The following is a 22,816-nucleotide window of genomic DNA, read 5'->3' as shown; positions in this document are numbered from 1 at the left end:
TGTTCTCTATGTTCTTATTCTACTCACAGAGTGATTTAAAAGCAGGCTTTTCTATTTTCAGCTCATACCATCCTTTTCATCTGATATTCACAGGCCCCATAAATCTACCTTTTCCTTACTTCTTCCAATGTCTAATCAATGTCTCCCCTGCAAAGAGCCACACCTATAATCAAATTGGTTATATATTTCTCATCACGTCAAACACAACACGTCAAACACAAAAGGCTTTCTTGGCTTTTCAAGGTTGTTTTTAATTTCCCCTTCCTTGACAGCTGTCCATGTGACCTCTCACCCCTTCCTTTTGCATCTACCTCACCTTACTCTAGAACAGCCAGTGTCTTGCAAACGTTCCACCAGTACCCATACCAGGCCAGTGACAGGCATTATGAAAGAGTCACAGCACAACATCCTATCCTGCTAAGCTTGGATGGGTATTGACAGAAGTCTCCTTTCCTTCTTCCTTCTTCTTTCTTCCTTCTTCCTTCTTTCTTCTTCCTTCCTTCCTTCCTTTCTCCTCTTCCTCTTCCTCCTCTTCTTCTTCTTCTAACCTTCTCCTTCTTCTTCCTCTTCTTCTTTAACACAATTCTCCAGGCAAAGATTTTCATGGGCAGAAAGATACAAGTGAAAGAATGGCAAGGATGGAAGTGAGGATAATGAACATGAATATGACTTGTAGAACATTGAGGGAGACATCATGGGTAAAGGAAGCACACATTTCAGGTTCATGAGAGACCTGATGTGAGTCTAACTGAATGACAGGAATTTGACACTCAAATCAAAGGCAGTATTCAGGAGCATTTTAAACTATTTTTGGTATACAAGATGGTGTACCAAGAGTTTCCTTTGTGCTTTCTCAGTGATGCTACTCAGTAACTTGATAGACTATTGTTGCTCCCATTTTGCAGAGGACGAGCCTGCATCGCATATAGCGTATTCACCTTGCTCAATTCGCAAGAGCTGAAACAAATGCAGTGTTCTTCCTACAATGTCATTGCAGGAAAGTGGAGACTGTAAACAGTTAAGTTCTCCTGGTTTCTTATAAGAAACTTGTTAGCTTTCTTGCTAACATTTTTAGACCTTTATTTTGCTTACTTTCTCCTAAATTGTTTTAAAAACATCTTTAGCTCTTTATAAAATGAATTATGTACTTGAAAGCAGAGAGAAAAATGTGATAGTTTATGATGAAATTATATTAATGTAAACCTGAAATTTTCCAAACTAAAGAAATTATTCTACTGCTGGTCAAGTCTGTGAGTGAAAAATACACCATTTGTATAGAATAGAATCTTTTTGCTTGTTTATAGGCAAATCTACCCAAATCATGCCTGAGTTATCATCCACTACTTAATTAAAATTCTTTCCAATAGGCTTTGATAATTGCAGGCATTCATTATTTTCCTCAATATAGCCAAGAAGTTTGACAGAAAATTTTATCACATGCATTTTAGTTATCTTCTCAAGCATCAATTTCTATGAGGAGACTCAAAACGTCAAGGAAGATACAGAAGCCACCATCGAGCTCAGTGAGAAAGACATGGCCCCAGAACTCTACATATGTCATTCATTCACTAAACACATATTTATTGTTTGCCTGTGTGTGTCAGGCATTATTCTATAATCCTGGAATACAAGAGTGAACCTTGGTCTTATAGCATTATATTCCAGGAAGGTAAGACATAATAAGACATTAATATTATAAATACATAAAAGTACACAATAAAATATTTGGAAGAAAAAATAGATGAAGAAAAAGGGGATAAGGAATGCTGGGGTGAAGAGATCTTTGCAATTTTAAATAGGGAATTCTGGGTAGGCCTCATTGAGAAGATGTTATTTAAGCAATGTCTTGAAGCTCATTTGACTTAACTATGTTTGGAGAAAGCATTATCAAAGTTCCTCTTAAAGGCCAGGTTGGATGGGGTTGAATCAAAGAGGAATACATCTGGGTTTAGGGTTGGTTTACAAGGAGAACGCAGTTAATGTGTAGTAAACAGACTGGGCTGGCTGGGCAGAGAGAGTTAGTATTATATAGAAGTATAAATAAGCACAAATAAGTGGTGAACAATGAATTGCAGTCAAGAAGAAAGTCAGAGATACTTGGTGCTTCTTGAAAAGCAGTACCAAGTATCAGACGTAAAGGGCAATCTAATTTTTAGGCTGTTAGGATTACCCTAGCAAAGTACCACAGACTATGTGGCTTAAAAAATAGAATTCATTTTATCGCAGTTATGGAGGCTAGAAGTCTAAGATCAAAGTGTTGGGAAGTTGAGTTTCTTCTGAGGCCTCTCTCTCCTGCTTGCTGATGGCTACTTCTCACTGTGTGATCACTTAGTCTTTCCTCTGTATGCATACACCTCTAGTATCTCTCTGTGTATCTAAATTTCTTCTTCCATTAAGAACATTAGTCCTGTTGAATTAGGGTTTCCTAGTGTCTCCAATGGTCCTATTTTAACTTAATAACCTCTGTAAAGGCTCTATTTCCAAATGTAGCCACATTCTGAGTTACTGGGTATTAGGGATTCAGCATATGAATTTTGAGGAAATACAATTCAATCTATACCACTGGTTTCAATGCAAACAAGCGAGCTGAGATCAGAAGCCAAAATTATTAGAAGGAGGTCATGAATCAGAATTCCTAATGAGAGTTCAAGGAGGCAGTTGTAAGCCTAAAATTTCTAGGCGGAAAAAAAGTGAATTGATGAGGATAGTTGGTGGCAAATTAACCCACAATGCCCTAGAGAGCTGCTTTTTATTTGTCTACTGTAACAATGTGGAAAGAACTACAAGTTGATGGATGAATGGTGACATCTCCAAGGGGAACCAAGGCAATGAATGAATATATCCAATAAAGCAATATGCTGAGCAAATGACAAAGTTAGGTATGAGGCTAAAAGTATGACTAGGTTCTCCCAGGAGGCATTTTTTATTACCCATTTTTCTTTTTTAAAGGCATTTGGTGCTCTGAAATGGAGGTGGATTCCAAAGAAAGAACAAAAAAGAGGGAAAGGGGAAGATAAAGAAAGAGAGAAAGAAGGAGGTGGAAAAGAAGAAAACAAGAAAGAGGAAGAGGAGGATGAAAAAGAAGAAGAAAGAAGGAGAAAAAGGAGAGGGGATAAGAAAGGAGGAAGAAAAAGCAGAGAAGGAGAAGCTTCAATAAGAGGACCACACAAAGAGTTGAATTACACACAGAGTTGAGGTATGCAGTTTGCTGAAGGATGGCTGAGAGATAGAAACTTACAGAAATAAATCAGAGAGGACACAAACGAATGAAAAAACATTCCATGCTCATGAATGGGGAGAATCAATATCATGAAAATGGCTATACTGCCAAAAGTAATTTTTAGATTCAGTGCTATTCCCATCAAGCTATCATTGACTTTCATCACAGAATTAGAAAAAAAATTACTTTAAGTTCATATGGAACCAAAAAAGAGCTCATATAGCCAAGACAATCCTAAGCAAAAAGAACAAAGCTGAAGGCATCACGCTACCTGACTTCAAACTACACTACAAAGCTACAGTAACCCGTACAGCATGGTACTGGTACCAAAACAGATATATAGACCAATGGAACAGAACAGAGGCCTCAGAAAAAAACTTACACGTCTACAACCATCTGATCTTTGACAAACCTGACAAAAACAAACAATGGAGAAAGAAATCCCTATTTAATACATGGTCTTGGGAAAACTGGCTAGCCATATGCAGAAAACTGAAACTGGACACCTTCCTTACACCTTATACAAAAATTAACTCAAGATAGATTAAAGATTTAAACGTAAGACCTAAAACCATAAAAATCCTAGAAGAAAACCTAGGCAATACCATTCAGGACATAGGCATGGGCAAAGACTTCATGACTAAAACACCAAAAGCAATTGCAACAAAAGCCAAAATGGACAAATAGGATCTAATTAAACTAAAGAGCTTCTGCACAGCAAAAGAAACTACCATCAGAGTGAACAGGCAACCTACAGAATGGGAGAAAATTTCTGCCATCTAGCCATCTGACAAGGGGCTAATATCCAGAATCTACAAGGAACTTAAACAAATTTACAAGAAAAAACAAATAACCCCATCAAAAAGTAGGCAAAGGATACAAACAGACACTTTTCAAAAGAAAACATTTATGCAGCCAACAAACATGAAAAAAAAAAAGCTCATCATGACTCATCATTAGAGAAATGCAAATCAAAACCACAATGAAATACCATCTCACGCCAGTTAGAATGGCAATCATTAAAAAGTCAGGAACGACAGATGCTGGAGAGGATGTGGAGAAATAGGAACATTTTTACACTGTTGGTGGAAGTATAAATTAGTTCAACCATTGTGGAAGACAGTGTGGTGATTCCTCAGGGATCTAGAACCAGGAATACCATTTGACCCAGCAATCCCATTACTGGGTATATACCCAAAGGATTATAAATTATTCTACTATAAAGACACATGCACATGTGTGCTTATTGCAGCACTATTCACAATAGCAAAGACACAGAACCAATTCAAATGCCCATCAATGATAGACTGGATAAAGAAAATGTGGCACATATATACTATAGAATACTATGCAGCCATAAAAAAGAATGAGTTCATGTCCTTTGCAGGGACATGGATGAAACTGGAAACCATCATTCTCAGCAAACTAACACATGAATAGCAAACCAAACACCACATGTTCTCACTTATAAGTAGGATTTGAGCAATTAGAACATATGGGCACATGGAGGGGAATATCACACACTGGGGCCTGTCAGAGGGTGGGGGGCAAGGGAGGGATAGCAATAGTTTCAATACCTAATGTAGATGACAGGTTGATGGGTGCAGTAAACCACCATGGCATATGTATACCTATGTAACAAACCTGCACGTTCTGCACATGGATCCCAAAACTTAAAGTATAATTTAAAAAACACACATAATTGGTAAATAAATAAACATTATTTATGTGAAATAGATATTACTAGTAAAATACAAGTTCTCGTTTTATTTATTGGGTTTCCACTTGCTTCTCATTAAAAAGAAGGAAGTTCTACTACTGTGCTTAAATGTCACTAGCACAACCTCCTACTTTTAGTACTTAAAAAGTAAAACTGTAAGAGATGAAAGGACTTCCAAGATGTCACACACAATATATTTTAATTTTGTTCCCAGAGAAAGTTGTTTTTGTTTCTTCTTGTTTTTCTGTAGTTTGTTTTGGAAAAAAAAAAAAAAGTATTTGCTTATTTATACTTCATGGGAAAAGCATCATTAGCATTTTGTATTTTTTGGTAGGCTTTTCTTCTTCCCTGGGAATTATTTTACATCTGAAAGGGCATTATTCCTCAATGAATAAAGAGAAATATTTCAGAAAACCTTTTCTCTGCAGCTCTCCCCTTACCCCTATTTTCTTTTCCCAACCCGCATATGCATAGAGTCTGTGATTAGAGGCCAAGGAACAACTACAGACATTGAGGGCATTTGATTTCTAGTCTGAAAGTCACATGCTTTCTAGTAATGATAGCCCTTCCTGCAGGGAGTGGCTGCAAAAGATGGTCGCTGTCATAGATTCCAAAAATTAACATGGGAACTTATATTAAAGACCACTGTTCAAATGGATGTAATTGAACATGTAAATTGGATTTACACACTCAGGTTTTGGGAACAGTGACTAGAAACACAACGTAAGACTTGCATTCACAAAATTATAGAGGATTATACATACAAATCAGCTCTCATTGAATCTTTGAAAATGAAATTGCATTTCTTCAGGATTTACCACACACTCCATGCTGGATAACTTCAGCAAATCGTTGTCACCCAGCACAGCTGAAAAATATGAAATGCCCACATGGCTACTTATTTTCCCTGGAGGGGAGGGGTTTACAGGTGAAGTACTTACCGAGTGTTTAAAATGTAATGCAAAGGAGATCCTATTTTTTTTCTTTTTCCCATTGGTGTTTTAGTCTGGATAAATCACACCCTTTGGCATTTGCATTGATACAACAAGAGCATACTATGCAGCACAAATAGCCTCATTTCCATAAAACGGCCTTTTAAAATTAGAAAATGTATAATTCATTTGGGGTGGTTATTACCACTTTTGGGAGGGATTTAGACTTGTATTTAAATGCAAATAGGTGTATTTTTTGTTCTTCCATTTACACATAGGAAGCCACAAAATTTAGGAACTCTATGATGCAACCTTATTCTTAACTATGACTTCTGGATTACAATATCAATAACAAAAGAGATTTGCTTGGTCCATTAAAGTTTGCAGCTGTCTTAAATTTGGTCTTCCTCACTTCCATAAGAGAGAATACCCATTGTGCACATGAGGAAAATGAGGCCCAGATAAGTTAGGTGATGTCTCCGAATTGCACACTGAGGATGTGGCAGAGCTGTAACTTCTATTCTGATGAGAGAGCAAATGGACAAACATAAACAGCTAGAGAGGGTCAAGAATGGGAACAAGGTAGCCAGAAAATGGATGAAAAGGGGAGAGAACAGAGAAGCAAGAAAAATTTTAGAAGGCAGAAAATATCTAGACAAGGAGGGCCAAGAAAACTATTGAACAAGAGTGCAGCACTTTGCCTCCCACCTCTGACCCTCTGAGCTGTGCTCCAGCTCCCTGGTATTTAGAGACGAAAAGACAGGAGAACCTTTATGATGATTCACTGACCCTAAAACCTGGTACCTCCTATTCGACTGTGCTGCTTATATGTCCTTTATTTGAGCAGGCTGTTTATCCTGTGGTCACCTAGGCAGGGGGAAATATCTTTATGCCCTCTTCTGAAACATGTGGCTCATGTTTTAGTCATTAATACTGTAGCTCCACAAAAAAGCCTTGTTTCTGATTTCTGGATTTTTGCATATCCTAAGAAGTTCTCACTCCATCCTTGTCCCTACTCCTCAATAGTCTCATTATTCCTTCATCTGGCCAAGTCCTACTCATTTTCCAAGACTACACTAATGCTGGAGTCCTCTAAGAAAACTCCTGAAATTTACTTCCATCATCAACCAGCCTAGACCACCTCTGCTTTCTCAGCCCTTATAGGTCAGTAGGAGCCCAAAGACTCTACAGTTGAAATGTCCCCATTTCAGCAGCCTTCCCCACTGGGCTGGAGACCTCAAAAGCAAGGGTCCATTCTTGTGTATCTGCATATCCCCAACCACTGCTACAGAAAGTGAGATAGAGAAAGAATTCCATACATATTTATGGAATCCTAATTCTGCTGATACTATCTGTGTGACTTTGGACAATTACTTAACTTCTCTGAACCTCAATATACTCATCTGAAAAATGGACCTACAGTAGGGATACAGCGAGTCCTACCTCCACTTGTAAAGGTAACCTGCATGGGACGTGAGCAGGTATCAAGAAATGACAGCTATTATGATTACTATTGCTAACTTGAAGTTGATAAATAGATGTTTTAATACTAGAGACCCTCCCTCAGACTTTGTCATTCAGGCCTTTAGATATCAGTCCAGACATCAACTAAATTCCTTTCCATACAAAATATCCCCTAACTCCAGGCCCAACCATGCTACTATTGTCAAGCCTGTTTTACAGAACAGAATCATCTGGTCACCCAGGGCCTTTTATTTCCCCAGCCTCAAGAAGTCTATTCAAATGTTAACGTTTATTCTACGATAAACCAGCTTCACTGGGGTATCTGTGAAACCACCTTTGCAAAAATTATAACAGTGAGAAAACTATGACAGTGAAAGGGACCTTACTTAACCAACTTCATCTTGTCTTTAACCCCCAAACTGCCCTTGGTTATTCCTGGGCATGGGTCAAGCTAACTTTCAGAGAAATTTAGTTTATAGGTTAAATGATAATAGCCCTTCCTAAAACTAAATTGCCTTTGTAAAACTGAAGAAAAGCCACCAGATTAGTAGGATGAGAGGGGCCTGAATTCTGCTACAATCTAGGCTTAGTTAAACAATAATCAACCATTGTTCCAGAGATCACAAAACTTACAAATTCCCCACATACTCCTGTAAATAGCATCACTATTGTAGAACCTAAGATTGGCCTTTTGAAATGTCTTTTCAAGCATTTGCATTTCTGATGACCAGATAGCCCCACCCAAGGCAGCAACTCCTCTATGGCCCCCACCCAGAAGCTGATTCAGGGCAGGAGGACCATTTTCTACACCTCTATGATTGCACTCCAACCAGTCAGCAGCACCCATTCCCTACCCACCTACCCACCAAACTATCCTTGAAAAACTCTAGCCTCTGAATTTTGGGGAAGGCTGATTTGAGTAATAATAAAACTCCAGTCTCCTGTGTAGCTGGCTCTATACATATTAAACTCTTTCTCTATTGCAATTCCCTGTCTTGATAAATTGGCTCTATCTGGGCATTGGGCAAAGTAAATCCATTAAGTGGTTACATCTGTTTGTCAGCAATGGCTTGAATTATCACTATTCCCCCAGAGACTGAATTAAATCTGCTAAGTTATCCTTTTCTCTGTTCCTCATTTTCTTTTTGGCCATATGAGGAGGTTGGACAAAACAGATTCCAATTTTCCTTTCAATTCTAACTTCTGATTCTCAAGAAAAAAAAAAGGGTTTCATCAGGGACTTAATTTAAAAAATACTTCATGTAGCAGTGGAATCCGAAAAGCCTCCTGGTGCAAGAATCAGGACTGAGAGGGAGCACCTGTTTGAAATTGAATGTGACACTATTCTTTTCTGAATCTTCTATCCTCATCTGAGAAATAAGTGGCAGGTAGCCGCATGGCCCTAATGTGGGTCTACAACTGTTCTCTGAGGGCACATAGAAGAAGTGTGGGGAAGCATGTTTATTGTCATACTCACACAGTAAGTGAGGCTGGGATGCTAAGATACTCACAATGAGGAAAACATTCCTGCATACTGAAGAACTGTCCTATTGAAATAGTCGGAATTGTCACCATTGAGGTCACCTTTGCATTGTTTCAAGGATGCCTATAGGATATTCCAACTTTAGCATTTTGTAAAAGGCTAATTGAAATAATAGGTGCTCAATACATTTGTGTTTAGAAGAGTTTTCAGTTTTGCAATGCTGTGACTTTTATAATATTGCATAACTCTAATTATCCTTGAAATTCTGTTCTTGACCTATATTAAAAAGACCAACATTTTTCTTCTTTTAAGCACTTGGTTTCCAGAAAATGCTATGCACACTCATTTCCTATAACCTTTCCTTCATGAACCTACATTATAGCCTCAGCACTTCTCAAAGTTCCAGCTATCAGAATTGGGGGAAATGCAGCAGCTAGGGACCCATTTGTGAATTTTAGTCCATCATTAAGCTGTTTACATCTTCAATTCTAGGAAGAAAAACTGAAGATGGACCACCTCGGGCTCTGGCATTGCTAATTCTCCTATTTATAAAATTATCTTTTAAAAACATATATATTTTCCAAGTTCCTTCTTTGTGTCAAACACTGATGTAGAAGCCTTGCAAACATTATTATTAAGACAACACTTCACTTGCAGATTATTTCCCCATTTTCAAAATGAGGAAAGTATGTTCTAGTGAGATTTGTACATTTGCCTAAGATACACAGATACTAGTGATGGATGTAAGTTTAAACATACATCTGTTCAAATCTGTTTCAGAGAAAATTATATTATTACATTCTGTATCCAGTTATATTTACAATAAGTTTGGTGAGCAATTTATTATCTCAATCAAGAGAAAGCTGTGACATTTTTTCGTATTTATTCTATAGGGATATTAAAAGTACGTAGTTTTTTAAAATGATGATGTCTATTTGATACTGCTACATACTTTTCCAAGACAATTTTAAACTAAAATATTTTAAAATGTATTTCCCCACAAAATTCTCACTAAGTTCCAAGGGGTCTGTGTGTATGACTCACAATTCCCAAGCCCCAGTTCATAGAACTGAGAACTGAAAGAGGGTCAGAGAAAATGGTGAAGCCTGGAGGAATTTTCAGAAGAGAAGATCATGCTTGCTGGGGAGCTCAGAAGAGCCCCCACAGCATCCAGAATGAATGAGTTGAGATTTCTTGGGTGCATTTTCTGCCTCACTGAAGTGCTGATTGATTTGGTTTGGTTCTGTGTCCCCACCCAAATCTCATGTCAAATTGTAATCTCAGTGTTGAAGGTGGGGAAGGTGCTGGTGGAAGGTGCTTGGATCATGGGGGTGGTTTTTAATGGTTTAGCGCCATCCCCCTAGTGCTGTCTTGTGAGTGAGTTCTTGTGAGACCTGGTTGTTTGAAAGTGGGTAGCACGTTGCCCTTCACTCACTTCCTCCTGTTCTAGCCATGTAAGATGTGCCTCCTTCCTCTTCATTTTTCACCATGATTGTAAGTTTCCTGAGGCCTCCCCAGAAGAAGAAGCCCTGCATAGACCTCAGAACAGTGAGCCAATTAAATATCTTTTCTTTATAAATTACCCAGTCTTCAGGTAGTTCTTTATAGCAGTGCAAGAAAGAGCCATTACACTGATAAATGTTTAAGAAGGGGTGGGAGGGAAGCCCTGAACAGTAGCACCTGCTAATTCCTCTGGTGTGAAGATTTCCTCCATGTCTACCTATAAGCCCCTGGCCCACCTAGTCACATAGTTGGGCAGAGATGTCCTTGATGCTGACTCCAGCACATCACTCCCTGCATCCCCTGTACTTAAAGTGGCAGCGGGCTCACAACTCTCCTCCGTTACTCAGAAAAGAATGTGATCAACTTTGACACCATGGGATGAGCCTGGCTACATTCCTGCATTTGCATATTCATGGACTCACTCATTCCACTGAAATTATGGTGCCAAACTCTATACCAGGTACAATGTCAAGAGCAGGAGGTAGAAAGGTTCAGAAAGGTGACCAGGAGCCAGTTCCACCAGTTAGTGGTGGAAGACCGGCACAGAAGCAGACAGTTATAATACTGAGTTCTTGACTATTTCTTCGTTATTTACAGTTCACTGTTTCCTCACTTTCCACTGCCCTGCATACCCTCACACCCATCTTCCCCAGCTTAGATTCCATGAATACACTCTACTCCTCTGCCTTCTCTTCCTTTTCTCGCTTCGTAGCTGCAAAATGCAGCTGACACGTTTAACTATTTCCAGGGAATTGCCAAAGAACACGTGACAAGCAGCAGATATCATGCTAAGCAAGCAAGCTGTATGTATGGCCTCATTTAACCCTCACCAACAATCTTACAAAATGAGCCCTATTATAACTTTCATTTTACAGAGGAGAAACTAAGGTAGGAAGAGGTTAAATTACTCATCCAAGGTCGCACAGTTAATACATGACAGGCCCAGAATTCCAAATTAGTATACTGAACTACTTTTAACCTCACACAGTGTCTGAAAGGGCAGTGATCTGGTGGAGGGATTACAGTATTGGAGAAAGTGGGAATACAAAAGAGAGTGCTTGAAACTAGGCATTAAGATATCAGGATTTTAATCCCAGTTCTGCTAATGAGCCATCAAGGGACCTTACAATGTCACTTCCCTTCCTGGGACCTCGGTCCTTCATCTGAAAAATAATTGGGTTGTAACTGTGATATCTAAGTTTACCATCCAGAATCCTATGAGATGGTTTGTGCCTGCACCGCAGAAGGCATCTGCTCCCTTACAAACCCTTCATGAAGAGCATAAACCCTAGTGGAGGGTCAGTATGATGGGATGAAAAGAAAGCGCCCTATTCCAACTCTGTAAAATAATAATAACTTTATGTATTACAGTAACAAGGACAATGCTGTTATTATTAACAATCCCAACCATAACTCTCACTTGCTGAGCATTTAGAATGTATCCAGCATTACGGAAAATGTTTCCCTAGGCATTATGTAATTCAATCTTCACAACAGGTTGGTTAAGCAAGTATTAGCATTAGCTCATTTTACAGATGGCAAAGCAATGACTCACAAAGCTTAGGTAACTGGTTCTGTTTCTTGTTGGTTGCAAAGCTAGGGTAGAAACTCATTTTTCTCTAAGTTCAGAGCTTGCTGTCCCTACCACACTCAGTGCTCCCAGGAGGCCAGGGTGAAATACTTCTCATGACAAAGCGGCCACCTGTGAGCTCACTGTGTGTGCAGGGTTCATGTGTCCCTGTTTCCTGAATTTCATTCTTCCTATGGTTTCTTCAGCTAGCAAGTTTCCCAGCCATGTCTCATGCATAGCCCCCCCATGCAAGGCAGGCAAAGCTGGAATAACTTTAAGCCTAGGCCGATGCTGTCTTGTCCTCTCTGCTCCAGTAAAAGGCTTCAGCTTGGAGTGTTTGCACAACAACCAGTGAATCCTGTTCCTCCCCCAAATTCATATTTTAAAGCCTTAACTTCAGTTAAGATTTTTAGAGGAAATTGAGGTTAAAAAACTATTAGGATGGGCACTGATAATGGCTGATGTCCCTTAAAGAAGAGGAGATTGGAACAAAGAGGGGTGACCATGTGAAGTCACAGGGAGAAGCCAACCCTGCTGACACCTTAATCTTGGACATCTAGCCTGTAGAATTGTGAGACAATAAATTCCTGCTATTGAAGCCACCCCACCTGTGGCACTGTGTTATGACAGCCCTAGCATATGTGTTACCCATATTCATATAAAATTGCACCAATGAAAGAGTCATGTGTTTCAGGTATAAAATGTTAGGAACATGTTACAGTTAGCTCAACTAAAACACATGAAACCCTCTCTGGCAAGTGCTGGGGCAGCTTCAAAGGAATACATAAAATTTCAGTAAAGCCTCCTGGCCTGGGGCTGAACAAAAGTGTCTGAAGGACACAGGGTCAAGATGAGACACAAAGGATCACATTTTGTGCAAGTCTCATCTCCTTTCTTTGTGCCAGTTGCAATCCTAAGCACTAGGCACATGTTTTTATCAATCCTTGATTTTAAAGACACAGAAACTGAGGCAGAGCAAGAGAAAATGACTTACGTAGTTAGTGTAGGAAGTGACGTATGTCTGATAATACCTTTGATCCATTCAGAAACCTGGTTGTTGTCATTAGTCCAGGCTTCCCTGAAACTAAGGGGTGGAGCTGTGTACCAGTGATTGCAGTGCAGTTGAGGGTGAGGCAGGAGGATACAGAGTGTGTTTGTGGGACAGGTGGGGCCAGGCTTGGTTCAGCTTTGTAGGACCTTGGAAGGACTTGAGATAAATATGGCTTGGGTGCTGGTCCTTAAAGTGAAAGTTCACTTTGATTGATATAGAAAGGAGTAGGGCATTTCTGTAAGCCAAAACATGGCAGATGCAATAATTTTCCAGGGAATGTTCAGGATCCGGTGGGGATGGCTTAGACAGTGGGGTAGGGGTGATCTGGCTAAAAATTGGTAGATTCTGGATTCATAAAACCTGTGACCCATCTAGCTGTTGATAAGCTTCAAATTTCAAGAAGTGGACTTACATCCTGAGGCTGTGAGTCTTTCTCTAGCCAGTGATACACTGCAAAAAGTTCAGGCTTTGGAATCGAGCAGCCCAAGTAGGAAACATCATTTATAACATCAGTGACTTTGAGTAAGTTACTTGACTTTCCAAGCCTGAGTTTACCCATATATTAATGGGACAAATTCATTTCAGGTCTGTTTAGTGTGAAGATCAAATAGAACAGAAGCTTTGAAGTGCCTAGGGCATTACCCAGCAAAATGTTGGGACTCAGTAAATATTAATCTGTCCTCACCACCTCCTCTGCCTGAGCACTTATCTTTATCACTTGTCCTATGATCAAGCCAGACAGGATTTAGACCTAGGTAACCCTGTCCCTGCTAAGCAACTTTGCTTGTAGCTTTTGCACCCCAATTTTTTTTTCTGGGGACCTGTGCCCTGTGACTTGTTCTTGGGCTTGTCCTCTGAGCACCTGAAATTCTTTTGAGGTATCCATCCACGCCCAAATGCTCTGACTCACAGGTCTATATTGACATGTGTCCACCTCAGAGCTGAACACTGTCCTACCGTCATTTTGATTAGGCCATTTTGATAAAAGGAATGATTTAGTATGATATTTATTTATTTATTTATTTATATTTATTTATTTATTTTTCTGAGACAGAATCTTGCTCTGTTACCCGGGCTGGAGGGCAATGGCAGGATCTCGGCTCACTGCAACCTCTGCCTCCGTGGTTCAAGCGATTCTCCTGCCTCAGCCTCCCAAGTAGCTGGGACTATACCAAGATGCCTGGCTAATTTTTTTTTTTTTTTTTTTGTATTTTTAGTGGAGATGGGGTTTCACCATGCTGGCCAGGCTGGTTTCGAACTCCTGATCTCATGATCTGCCCGCCTTGGCCTCCCAAAGTCCAAAGTGCTGGGAAAACAGGCGTGAGCCACCATGCCTGGCCTGGTATGATATTTATAATGTTGCCCTAAACCTCACTCCACTCCTAGCTACACGTACATGGGGAATAAAAGATGAGGGAAGTGAGGAGAGCTGCTAGTGAAGGGTTGGGGATCGAAGATGGGCTGGGGATGCAATGGTTACCATGTGTCTGTTGGGCACAGTAATTATTACTTTAAAATTTTAAATGCTTCATGCTTGTTTTTAGGCAAAATCACAAGGTTTCTCCATTATGATAGCTCTATTAAAATCCTATGCAGACCCTATTGCTTCTATTTAGGTATCTTGTGATCATTTCTGTGGACCACACTGTATTTTTTCCCACATACTCAGCTTACAATATTATCAAGTACACCTACCAATTTAAAAACCTGCATCCTGAAAGTGACATTTTAAAGTCTGGCTTTCACCAGGTCTCTTAGGCCGAAACTAGTCCCATGAGCAGTGACTTGCAGCTCTTGATTTCCGGTTCTCACACACACCCTTGGACAGGAAGGTGCCTCATTGGCACCAGGGCGTTGTCTTTCGGCTTTCGGGGAGAGCAGTGACTAACTATCCAGCACTGCCCTCCAAGGAGGCTACTTCCTGGTTCAGCCCAGCTCTTACTATCCTGCAGAAAATGGTGCATCCATCCACCAATGGGAGGTGATGGGCTCCTGGCCTTGAGGGTTACTGAAATAACTGCAATCGTGGAAAGTGGAATTAGCTTTGTCCCCATATGTTTCATAACATTTTGTATCTCTTCTTGCCTCATCCATATCTGTATTGCAATCATTTGATTTCAAAGCATCCTGGGGCAATGCAAAAGCTAGGTTTCAGGACAGACATGCTGTGTTAACAGGTTGCAGTTGACTGTGAGCTGTAGGGTTTGGGCACATCCATAAGCTTGCTGAGTCTGTTTTTTACTTTGTAACGTAATACTAACTACACATACTCCACAGGATGTTCAAGAGTCTTAGGTGATCTCATGCATGTAGTTACCTTAGGGTAATGTTGGCCCAACATATTACGGTTACTCCAAGATGAGTAATATGAGCTTTCAGCCTAAAACGTTACCAAGAGAACTAATGAAATGCCAGGCAACATTAACAGAAATGTGGTGACCAGGAAAAAGACAACGAGAGTTAACAGTTAAAGTAAGCTGGTAAGATCAAACCTGAATCCTGGGGTCTCTTCCAAGAATTACACATCAAAAGTGATTTTGGCAAGCAGACACACAGTCAGAGGACAATGGTTGACATTGAGGAGAGGATAGAAATAAAAATAAATAATGTTAGAAAAAACTGAGATGGTTTACCTGAAGTAGGCAAAAGTTGAGAGCACAGGAAAGTTGTCATAGGACACAGAGGGTGCCACTATGATGTGCCAGGCTTAGTAGGTAACAGATAGAGAAGAACTGGGCTTAGTAGATAACAGATAAAGAAGAAGAGATTCCAGCTCAAAATATAAAAGAAGTTTCCTAATTTGATGACCTCCTTCAACCGTAAACAAATCCTCCTAGCCCAAGAGTTTCTCTTATGCTATTGAGTCATACATCTGCATATTTTACTTGTATCCTCTTAGGCAAATGAAGGCATATATATAGTTTTACTCAGCAAAAAATATTCATGAATAGCTGTGCATACATCAAAAGTATATATGAATCATCTTTTATCATTGACCTACATTAATCTCCTGTGAGCGCTCTAAATAATTCAACTTTGATTTTCCTGGGACCAGGTTCAATCAGCCAGGTGCTCTACCATCCAATATTAATGTCTTATTTTGTCTACTCAAGAAGGAAACCAACAGTTGTCCCTTTTTCTTTTTCTACATCATCAATTTCCCCTTTCTTTGGGATAAGTCTGATTAAAATTATATATTACTTTTTCCATTAAAGAAAACCCTGACTTGATTTTATATCGTAACCTCCAGTTATTACCCCAGTTTTTGCCCCTATTTACAGTTAAAGTATTCAAATAATGGTCTACATTTACTCTCTCCAAATCCTTTCCTCCTGTTCTCTCTTGAGCTCTCTCTATGTATCTCATATACATATATATGTATACAAATGTATTTATATACAATCATATACATATATTTGCCTACTAATCCACAAATGTTACTTCTGTTTTATTCACCAAGGCCTTCCATATTGCTTATTTAAGGCCTAATTCTCAGTCCATCTGGCTTGATCTATTAGCACTTTATATGCTAGATCTGTCCCTCTTTCTGGCCACACTTTCTTTACTTGACTTTCGGTCAACCCATTCTCCAAGTTTCCTTCAGGGTGGGCTTTTTTTTAGTGACTATGTTGTTCCTTTTTACCCTTAAGACCTTTAAATGAGCCTCAGTTCTTGGATTTCCTTACTTTGACCTGCTTTCTAGGGAACATTTAGATGCCCAGCTTTACATGCTATTCCTGTTCTGGAAACTCTCAGATGTGCATTTCTAGCAAGGATGTCTCTCTTGAACCCTGACTTGTAGGTTCAGCTGTCTACTTGACATCTCCCTTGGAGGGGGAAGAGACATTTCTAGCCAGGCATATCTAAAATTCACTTCCTGTTATTTCCCATGCCCTGCCCCACCTCTGCATCTCAACTAATGACAACTTTATTTTCTTAGTTAGCCAGGTAAAAAACTTCAATGCATTTTTTAACTCTTTTCCCTTACCCTTCAGATGCAATTCATCAGGAAATCCTATTGGTTCTCCCTTCTTCATATATCCAGACCTGACCATTTTTAGCACATCTATTCCTTGACTCAAGCCATCATAATATCTCTCCAGAGTATTGCAATAACTTCTAAGTGATCCTCCTTCATTTTACACATGAGCCAAGAATGCTTTGTAGTCAGAAGCAAGAGTAATTCTTTAAAACGACAAATTGGGCCAGGCACGGTGGCTCATACCTGTAAGCCCAACACTTTGGGAGGCCGAGGCAGGTGGATCACCTGAGGTCAGGAGTTTGAGACCAGCCTGACCGACGTGGCAAAACCTCGTCTCAACTAAAAATACAAAAAAAATTAGCCAGGCATGGTGGCTTGTGCCTGTAATCCCAGCTACTCAGGAGGCTGAGGCAGGAGAATCGCTTGAAACTAGGAGGCATACGTTGCAGTGAGCCGAGATCATGCCACTACACTCCAGCCTGGGCAAAAGAGAGAGAGATTCAGTCTAAAACAAAAACAAAAAAACAAATAAACGTAAAAATAAATAAATAAAAGATAAATCAGATCACACCATTCCTCAGTCCAAGGGTGTCCCAGCTCATTCAGAATAAAAACCAAATTCTTTAAAATGATCTGCAAGTCCCTACATGAACTGTCCCTATGACCTCTCCGCCCTTCTCTGTGTTCTCCCTCACTCTTCTCCAGCCACACTGGCCCCTTGCTGTTTTATGCACTCATTAAGCATGCGGTTGCCTTTTGGTTTTACACATGCTCTTCCTTTCTCTAGAACTGTTGTTCTGTCTCATATCTCCATGGCTGCTCCTTCACCTCCTTCAAGTCTTTACTCAAATATCACCCATGCCTTCCCTGAGCACCTTTTTCAGAGGCACACCTTTCCCTGTCCCAGCACTTACTAGCATCCTTCCCTGCTTTGTTTTTATTCATAGACTTGGTCATCATTAAGCACATTTTATTTTTGTTTATTTTCTGTCTCTTTCCTCCTGGCTACTCAACCCTATAAAGAAGGAATGTTTTCTTCTTCTTTTGTTCTCTACTCCATCTTTAGCACCTAGAATAAGCCGTGAATTGAATTGTTGTCTCAAGCCACACCGAGGCAAGAGGAGAAAGCAGTTATGGGAACCCAGCGAGAGTTGAAACTGTAGGAAAGTGCTGCCCACAGGAGCTGCTGCAATCCAAGAGGAGCACCTTGGCTGTGGCCAAACTCCCATGAGGCAGACAGGGAACCCTAAGAACCAGTAGCTCCCAGCTCTTCTTCCTTTGATCTCCCATTTCTTGCTGCTATATCCCATTGACCAATTCCAATAGGAAGCCAGAGCGTAAGAGCCCATTTGAGGCAGTCTCTCAGGATACCTTTCAGAGTGAACAAAGGTAGAGAGTGAACCTGGAGAGGCAGACAGAATGTACCTTGAAAAGTCAGAAAATAAGCAGCCAATTAGAAAGAGATACAATGCCTTCATTTTAATTATAGAACTCACTGGATTTTCTTCAACTGAATGAATTTGCGGTACCTCTGTGATGAATGAAGGGAACTTGGGGAGGAGACATTGAACCAGAAGTATGTTTTGTTCTGCTTTTATTTACCTACCGTAAGTTACTTTCTCTAACAAGAATGACATTGGAGAGTATGCATTTGACTTAGAATATCTGTCCCAAAAGGGATTTTGGATGGCTTGCTTAAATGCACACAATGCAATAAGTAGAAACATAAATTGCATTGAAGAAGCACATTGTACTTGAATACAGAAATGCTGGGAAGGGCAAAATTCTTTGCTAATGTTTTGCTGGACTATTCTAATGAGCAAAGATTGTGTTAATCTTGGATTTTGGCTTTACCCTCTTTCCAAACATCAGCCCCCTGAACAAGAATTTCACAACTCCTGAGCATTTTTATTGTGCTCACAATTGCCTGGGACATAAAAGCCCTGGGGCCCTGGTCTGCAACTGCCTGAGGCTGTCTGTGGCTTTGGGTCATAGCTGAGCCTCTCATGACCCTGTCTTACTTTCAGCTCAGATATGCTGTGTTCCATTTGATGATAGTTTGATATCAAACATAAACCAAGTCCTAAACCTAAATTAAATGTGTAGATTAAACTAAGACTCAACATTCCTGCAGTGTCACATTTCCCTTACTAAACAATCTAATAATCATTTACTCAAGTTTATAGATTTCAAGCTAAAGGTTGTAGAAATATCTAAACATCATTCTATAGTTAAGTAAGCAGCAAGTCCTATTGCATTAGTCACTAGATCAAAAGTGAAAAGGGCTCCAGGAGAGGAGAATGTTTGAAATGTTTTGAGACTCAGCCCCACCACTTTCCAACTGGTGAATCTGGCCAAATTATAAGCTTTTCTGGGCTTGATCTCTCATCTGCAGAATGGGAATAGTAACACTAGCACTTACTATACTGTGCTGTTACATGAGGATTAAATGAGTGAACATTTGAAATGCTTAGAATAGTGGCTGGCACAGAGTAAGCACCCTATAAGTGTTGACTAAAATAAATTACTATATTTTCAACTTTCACTTTACAACATTTTCTCACTGATCCTGCTATAAAAAAATTAAGAGGTTACTAGTAGCTTTTGAGAAAAGTATAGTCTGTTATACAAGGATATTTATGTGATATATAAGGTTGCATTGCTTTCACAAAATTGATTTTTAAATCTAACTGGTAAAATAAATAAATTAGGAGAAATAGTAGGCAGAATAATGCTTTCCCACAATCCACAAAAGATGTTCATTCCCTAATGCTTGGGACCTGTGTATATGTTTGTTGTTTGTTCATACAGAAACAGGGTGATATGGTTTGGCTCTGTCCCCACCAAAATCCCATCTTGAATTTTAGCTTCCATAATTCCCACGTGTGATGGGAGAGACCCGGTGGGATGTAATTGAACCACTGAGGCAGGTCTTTCCCATACTGTTATCATGATAGTCAATAAGTCTCACGAGATATGATGGTTTTATAAAGGGCAGTTCCCCTGCACACGCTTTCTTGCCTGCCATCATGTAAGACATGCCTTTGCTCCTCCTTTGCCTTCTGCCATGATTGTGAGGCCTCCCCAGCCACGTGGAACTGTGAGTCCATTAAACCTCTTTCCTTTATAAATTACCCAGTCTTGGGTATGTCCTTATAGCAGCGTGATAACAGACTGATACACAGGGGCTTTGAAGATGTGAATGTTAGGATCTCCAGATGAGAAGATGATCCTGGATTATCCAGGTAGGCCAAATCTAACCCTTAAAAGAGAACAACCTTTCCCAGCTATGGCCAGAGGGAGGCTGACTGTAGAACAACAGTGGGAGAGATGCAACATCGCCAGCTTTGAGGACACAGAAAGGGGCCATGAGCCAATGAATGCTGGTGGAGTCTAGAAGCCGAAAAAGTCAAGTCAACAAATTCTTCCCTGGGCCCTCCAGATAGCTTAAGTTTAGGTCAATGAAACCTGATCTTGATCCATAACTGACCCATACCTGTAAGATCATAAATGCATGTTGCCTTAAGCCACTAAGTTTGTGGTAATTTATGATAGCAGCAAAGAGAAAACTAATACACGAGATAAAAATTGGCTCATGAAAGTACTTCACTTTAAATAATGTTTTCACTTGCATTTGTATATCTATATTAATTTGCTTTTATTGGGAGGTGTCTGTGAGCAATGTTTTGGTAATGAGTTTGCCCTGTTCAAATTTCACCTATCCTTCAAAACTAAGAAATTGATACACCAGGAAATAGTGAAAAGGCGATGTGATTTAGAGTTAAAGATACGTGGGCTTAGAGTTCCCAGATTAACTGAATAATATTTTAAAAGTATGAATATATTCCATGCAATAACTGCAACATACATATAGTTAAACAACAACAGAAAGAGCATGCATTATTTATCTGAAATTCAAATTTAACCGAATGTCTTGTATTTCACCTGCCAGTGCTACCTGGATGAAAATCATGTGTGTCATAAATATAAATGGACCCTTAGGCCGGTGAGTCCCAGACTGGGCTGGATATTGGAATGTCCTGTAGAGCTCTTATAAATCCCAATTCCTAGCTGGTGATTTAATTAAGTAAATCATTATCTCTGAGGGTAGGACAGAAGAATGAGAACGTTTCAAGTTTCTCAGGTAATTCCCAATGTGCAGGTAATAACTCACACAATGGTTCTGTAACTATGTTGTTTATAGGAATTACCCAGGGAGCTTATGAAGATGTAGTTCCTGGTTTTATCTTAAGAGATTCTGATTCAGTAGGACGGGAGGAAGGGGGATTCAAGAGCTTCCGTTAACCAGCATCCAGGTGATTTTGATGAACTATCAGTGACTCACACTTTAAGAAACCTAAAATATCTTGGAACATGTGGCAACAATTTCAACTACAAGGAAACTCACTGCACAGGTATTATGAGGATTATTTCACTTAGGTGTACACACTGTAGAAATTTACTTTACACGAATTGCTAAAAATATAATCATTGGATTCCTTTTCTTCTTCCTTAAGTTCTTCCATTGCCTAGAAGCCTTTCTTGGTTTCTTTAGCTCTGTTGAACCCCACCCCTCTCCCCTATCTTCCTGTAGGATCAGGAGTTTATGCCACATAGCTGAATTCAAGTTAAACTCATCTTAAGTTATTCTCTCTGATTTCAGGGTGGTTGATCTTGCCTTCCCCATGTGCCCACACTTTTCTATTCACTGGTCGAGGAAACAAGGATCACCTACTTGGTTTTCCTGTTTAATCCATCAAATGATCCCGAAAGGTTGATGCTTTTGTCTCTATTGCCTGACATGATGCTGTGTCTTCATATGATTTTCATCTGGAATTTGAAACTCAGAGAAAATTGTCACAGCAAAGGCAGACACACACAACTCTGTGTCTTTCTGTCTTCAGGACCAATATGCTTTCCATAAAGTACCCCACCCCTCCTGAAACTAAGCCAGGGGCTGATCTCATTTTTTCAAACCTTTTCTGTTACCACCCTCCACCAAGCCCAGTTCCACTCTCCGATGAGGTTCAGTGCACAGCGGTCATTTGGCAGCACATTCCCATGGACTGAATGACCCATGCATTATGGGAAACACACTAAGCTCGGAAGAAAGGCTTTTTCCTCCTTTTCCTTAATTCTTGGCGCCTGCACTTTCACAATTCCTGCTTGGAAGGACATGAGTCCAAGAAGGTCGGCATCTGTCCTTCTATGCCGGGGCCACCTGGGGCTTGCCTGAATGGCCCAGGCCCACTGGGTTTGAGAGGCAGGAAATTACTGCCTACGGGGTCAACTTGGACCTTCACAGAAAAAATAGCTGACATTGTTCTGACCATGGGGAATAATATCTACAAATAGCCTAATGTTGTTTGAAGGAACAATAGCAGCACAAATTACTGCTTCCCCCTGACTCCCACCCCACCAAACAGATAGGGCTTCACTTGCTACGAGCAACAAGCTCGAGTGTTTCAGTTGGTGTAAGGAACATTTAACAAGTGAAACACCCTGGATTCTATATGTGCCTTCCATGTCCCCACGTTCTCAGACCGATATGTTTTATATATGGGCAAGAGCAGAGATTTTGGTGTTGGAAAGAACTGTGTTCAAATACCAGCTCTATCACTGAATAGATGCAAGCCTTGAAAATGTATTGTAAACATTCTCGAGTTTCTATAATCAGGAGGCACTCTAGTGGAGGCATTGCCTGGTCTTTACTCTGTACCCAGAAGCTGTGTGATTCTAAGAAAAGCATTTCTATCACTCACTGTGAGGGAGTTCCAGGGTTCTTCTCAGTACTGTGCCAGAGAGAGCCTTCAGCTGACCAAATGCCTACAGTTATCAGAGATAGAAGGACACCTATGGTGCAAGCTGAGGTTTGTTGGCACAGGCACAGG

The 22,816-nt window shown here is 40.1% G+C and overlaps 1 long non-coding RNA gene across 1 annotated transcript in view, besides 1 other annotated feature; it reads right to left on the bottom strand.

Moving 5' to 3' along the window:
* The window catches only part of LOC107986178 (uncharacterized), a 245,894-nt gene that overhangs the window by 142,395 nt on the left and 80,683 nt on the right, over positions 1-22,816 (bottom strand). The gene's annotated exons all lie outside the window — the stretch shown is intronic.
* Positions 14,210-15,409: an enhancer, noted in NCBI's record as "CDK7 strongly-dependent group 2 enhancer chr4:11633687-11634886 (GRCh37/hg19 assembly coordinates)". NCBI's record gives its function as "activates an origin of replication core promoter dependent on BRD2, BRD4, P300/CBP, MED14 and CDK7 cofactors, with strong dependence on CDK7, by STARR-seq in HCT116 cells {active_cell/tissue: HCT116}" and the evidence as "EXISTENCE:reporter gene assay evidence [ECO:0000049][PMID:35650434]".

This window comes from Homo sapiens, chromosome 4 (genome assembly GCF_000001405.40).
Source record: "Homo sapiens chromosome 4, GRCh38.p14 Primary Assembly".
NCBI lineage: Eukaryota > Metazoa > Chordata > Mammalia > Primates > Hominidae > Homo > Homo sapiens.
Note: the sequence above shows the minus strand (reverse complement) of the source record. Positions and strands in the feature narration are given on the sequence as shown.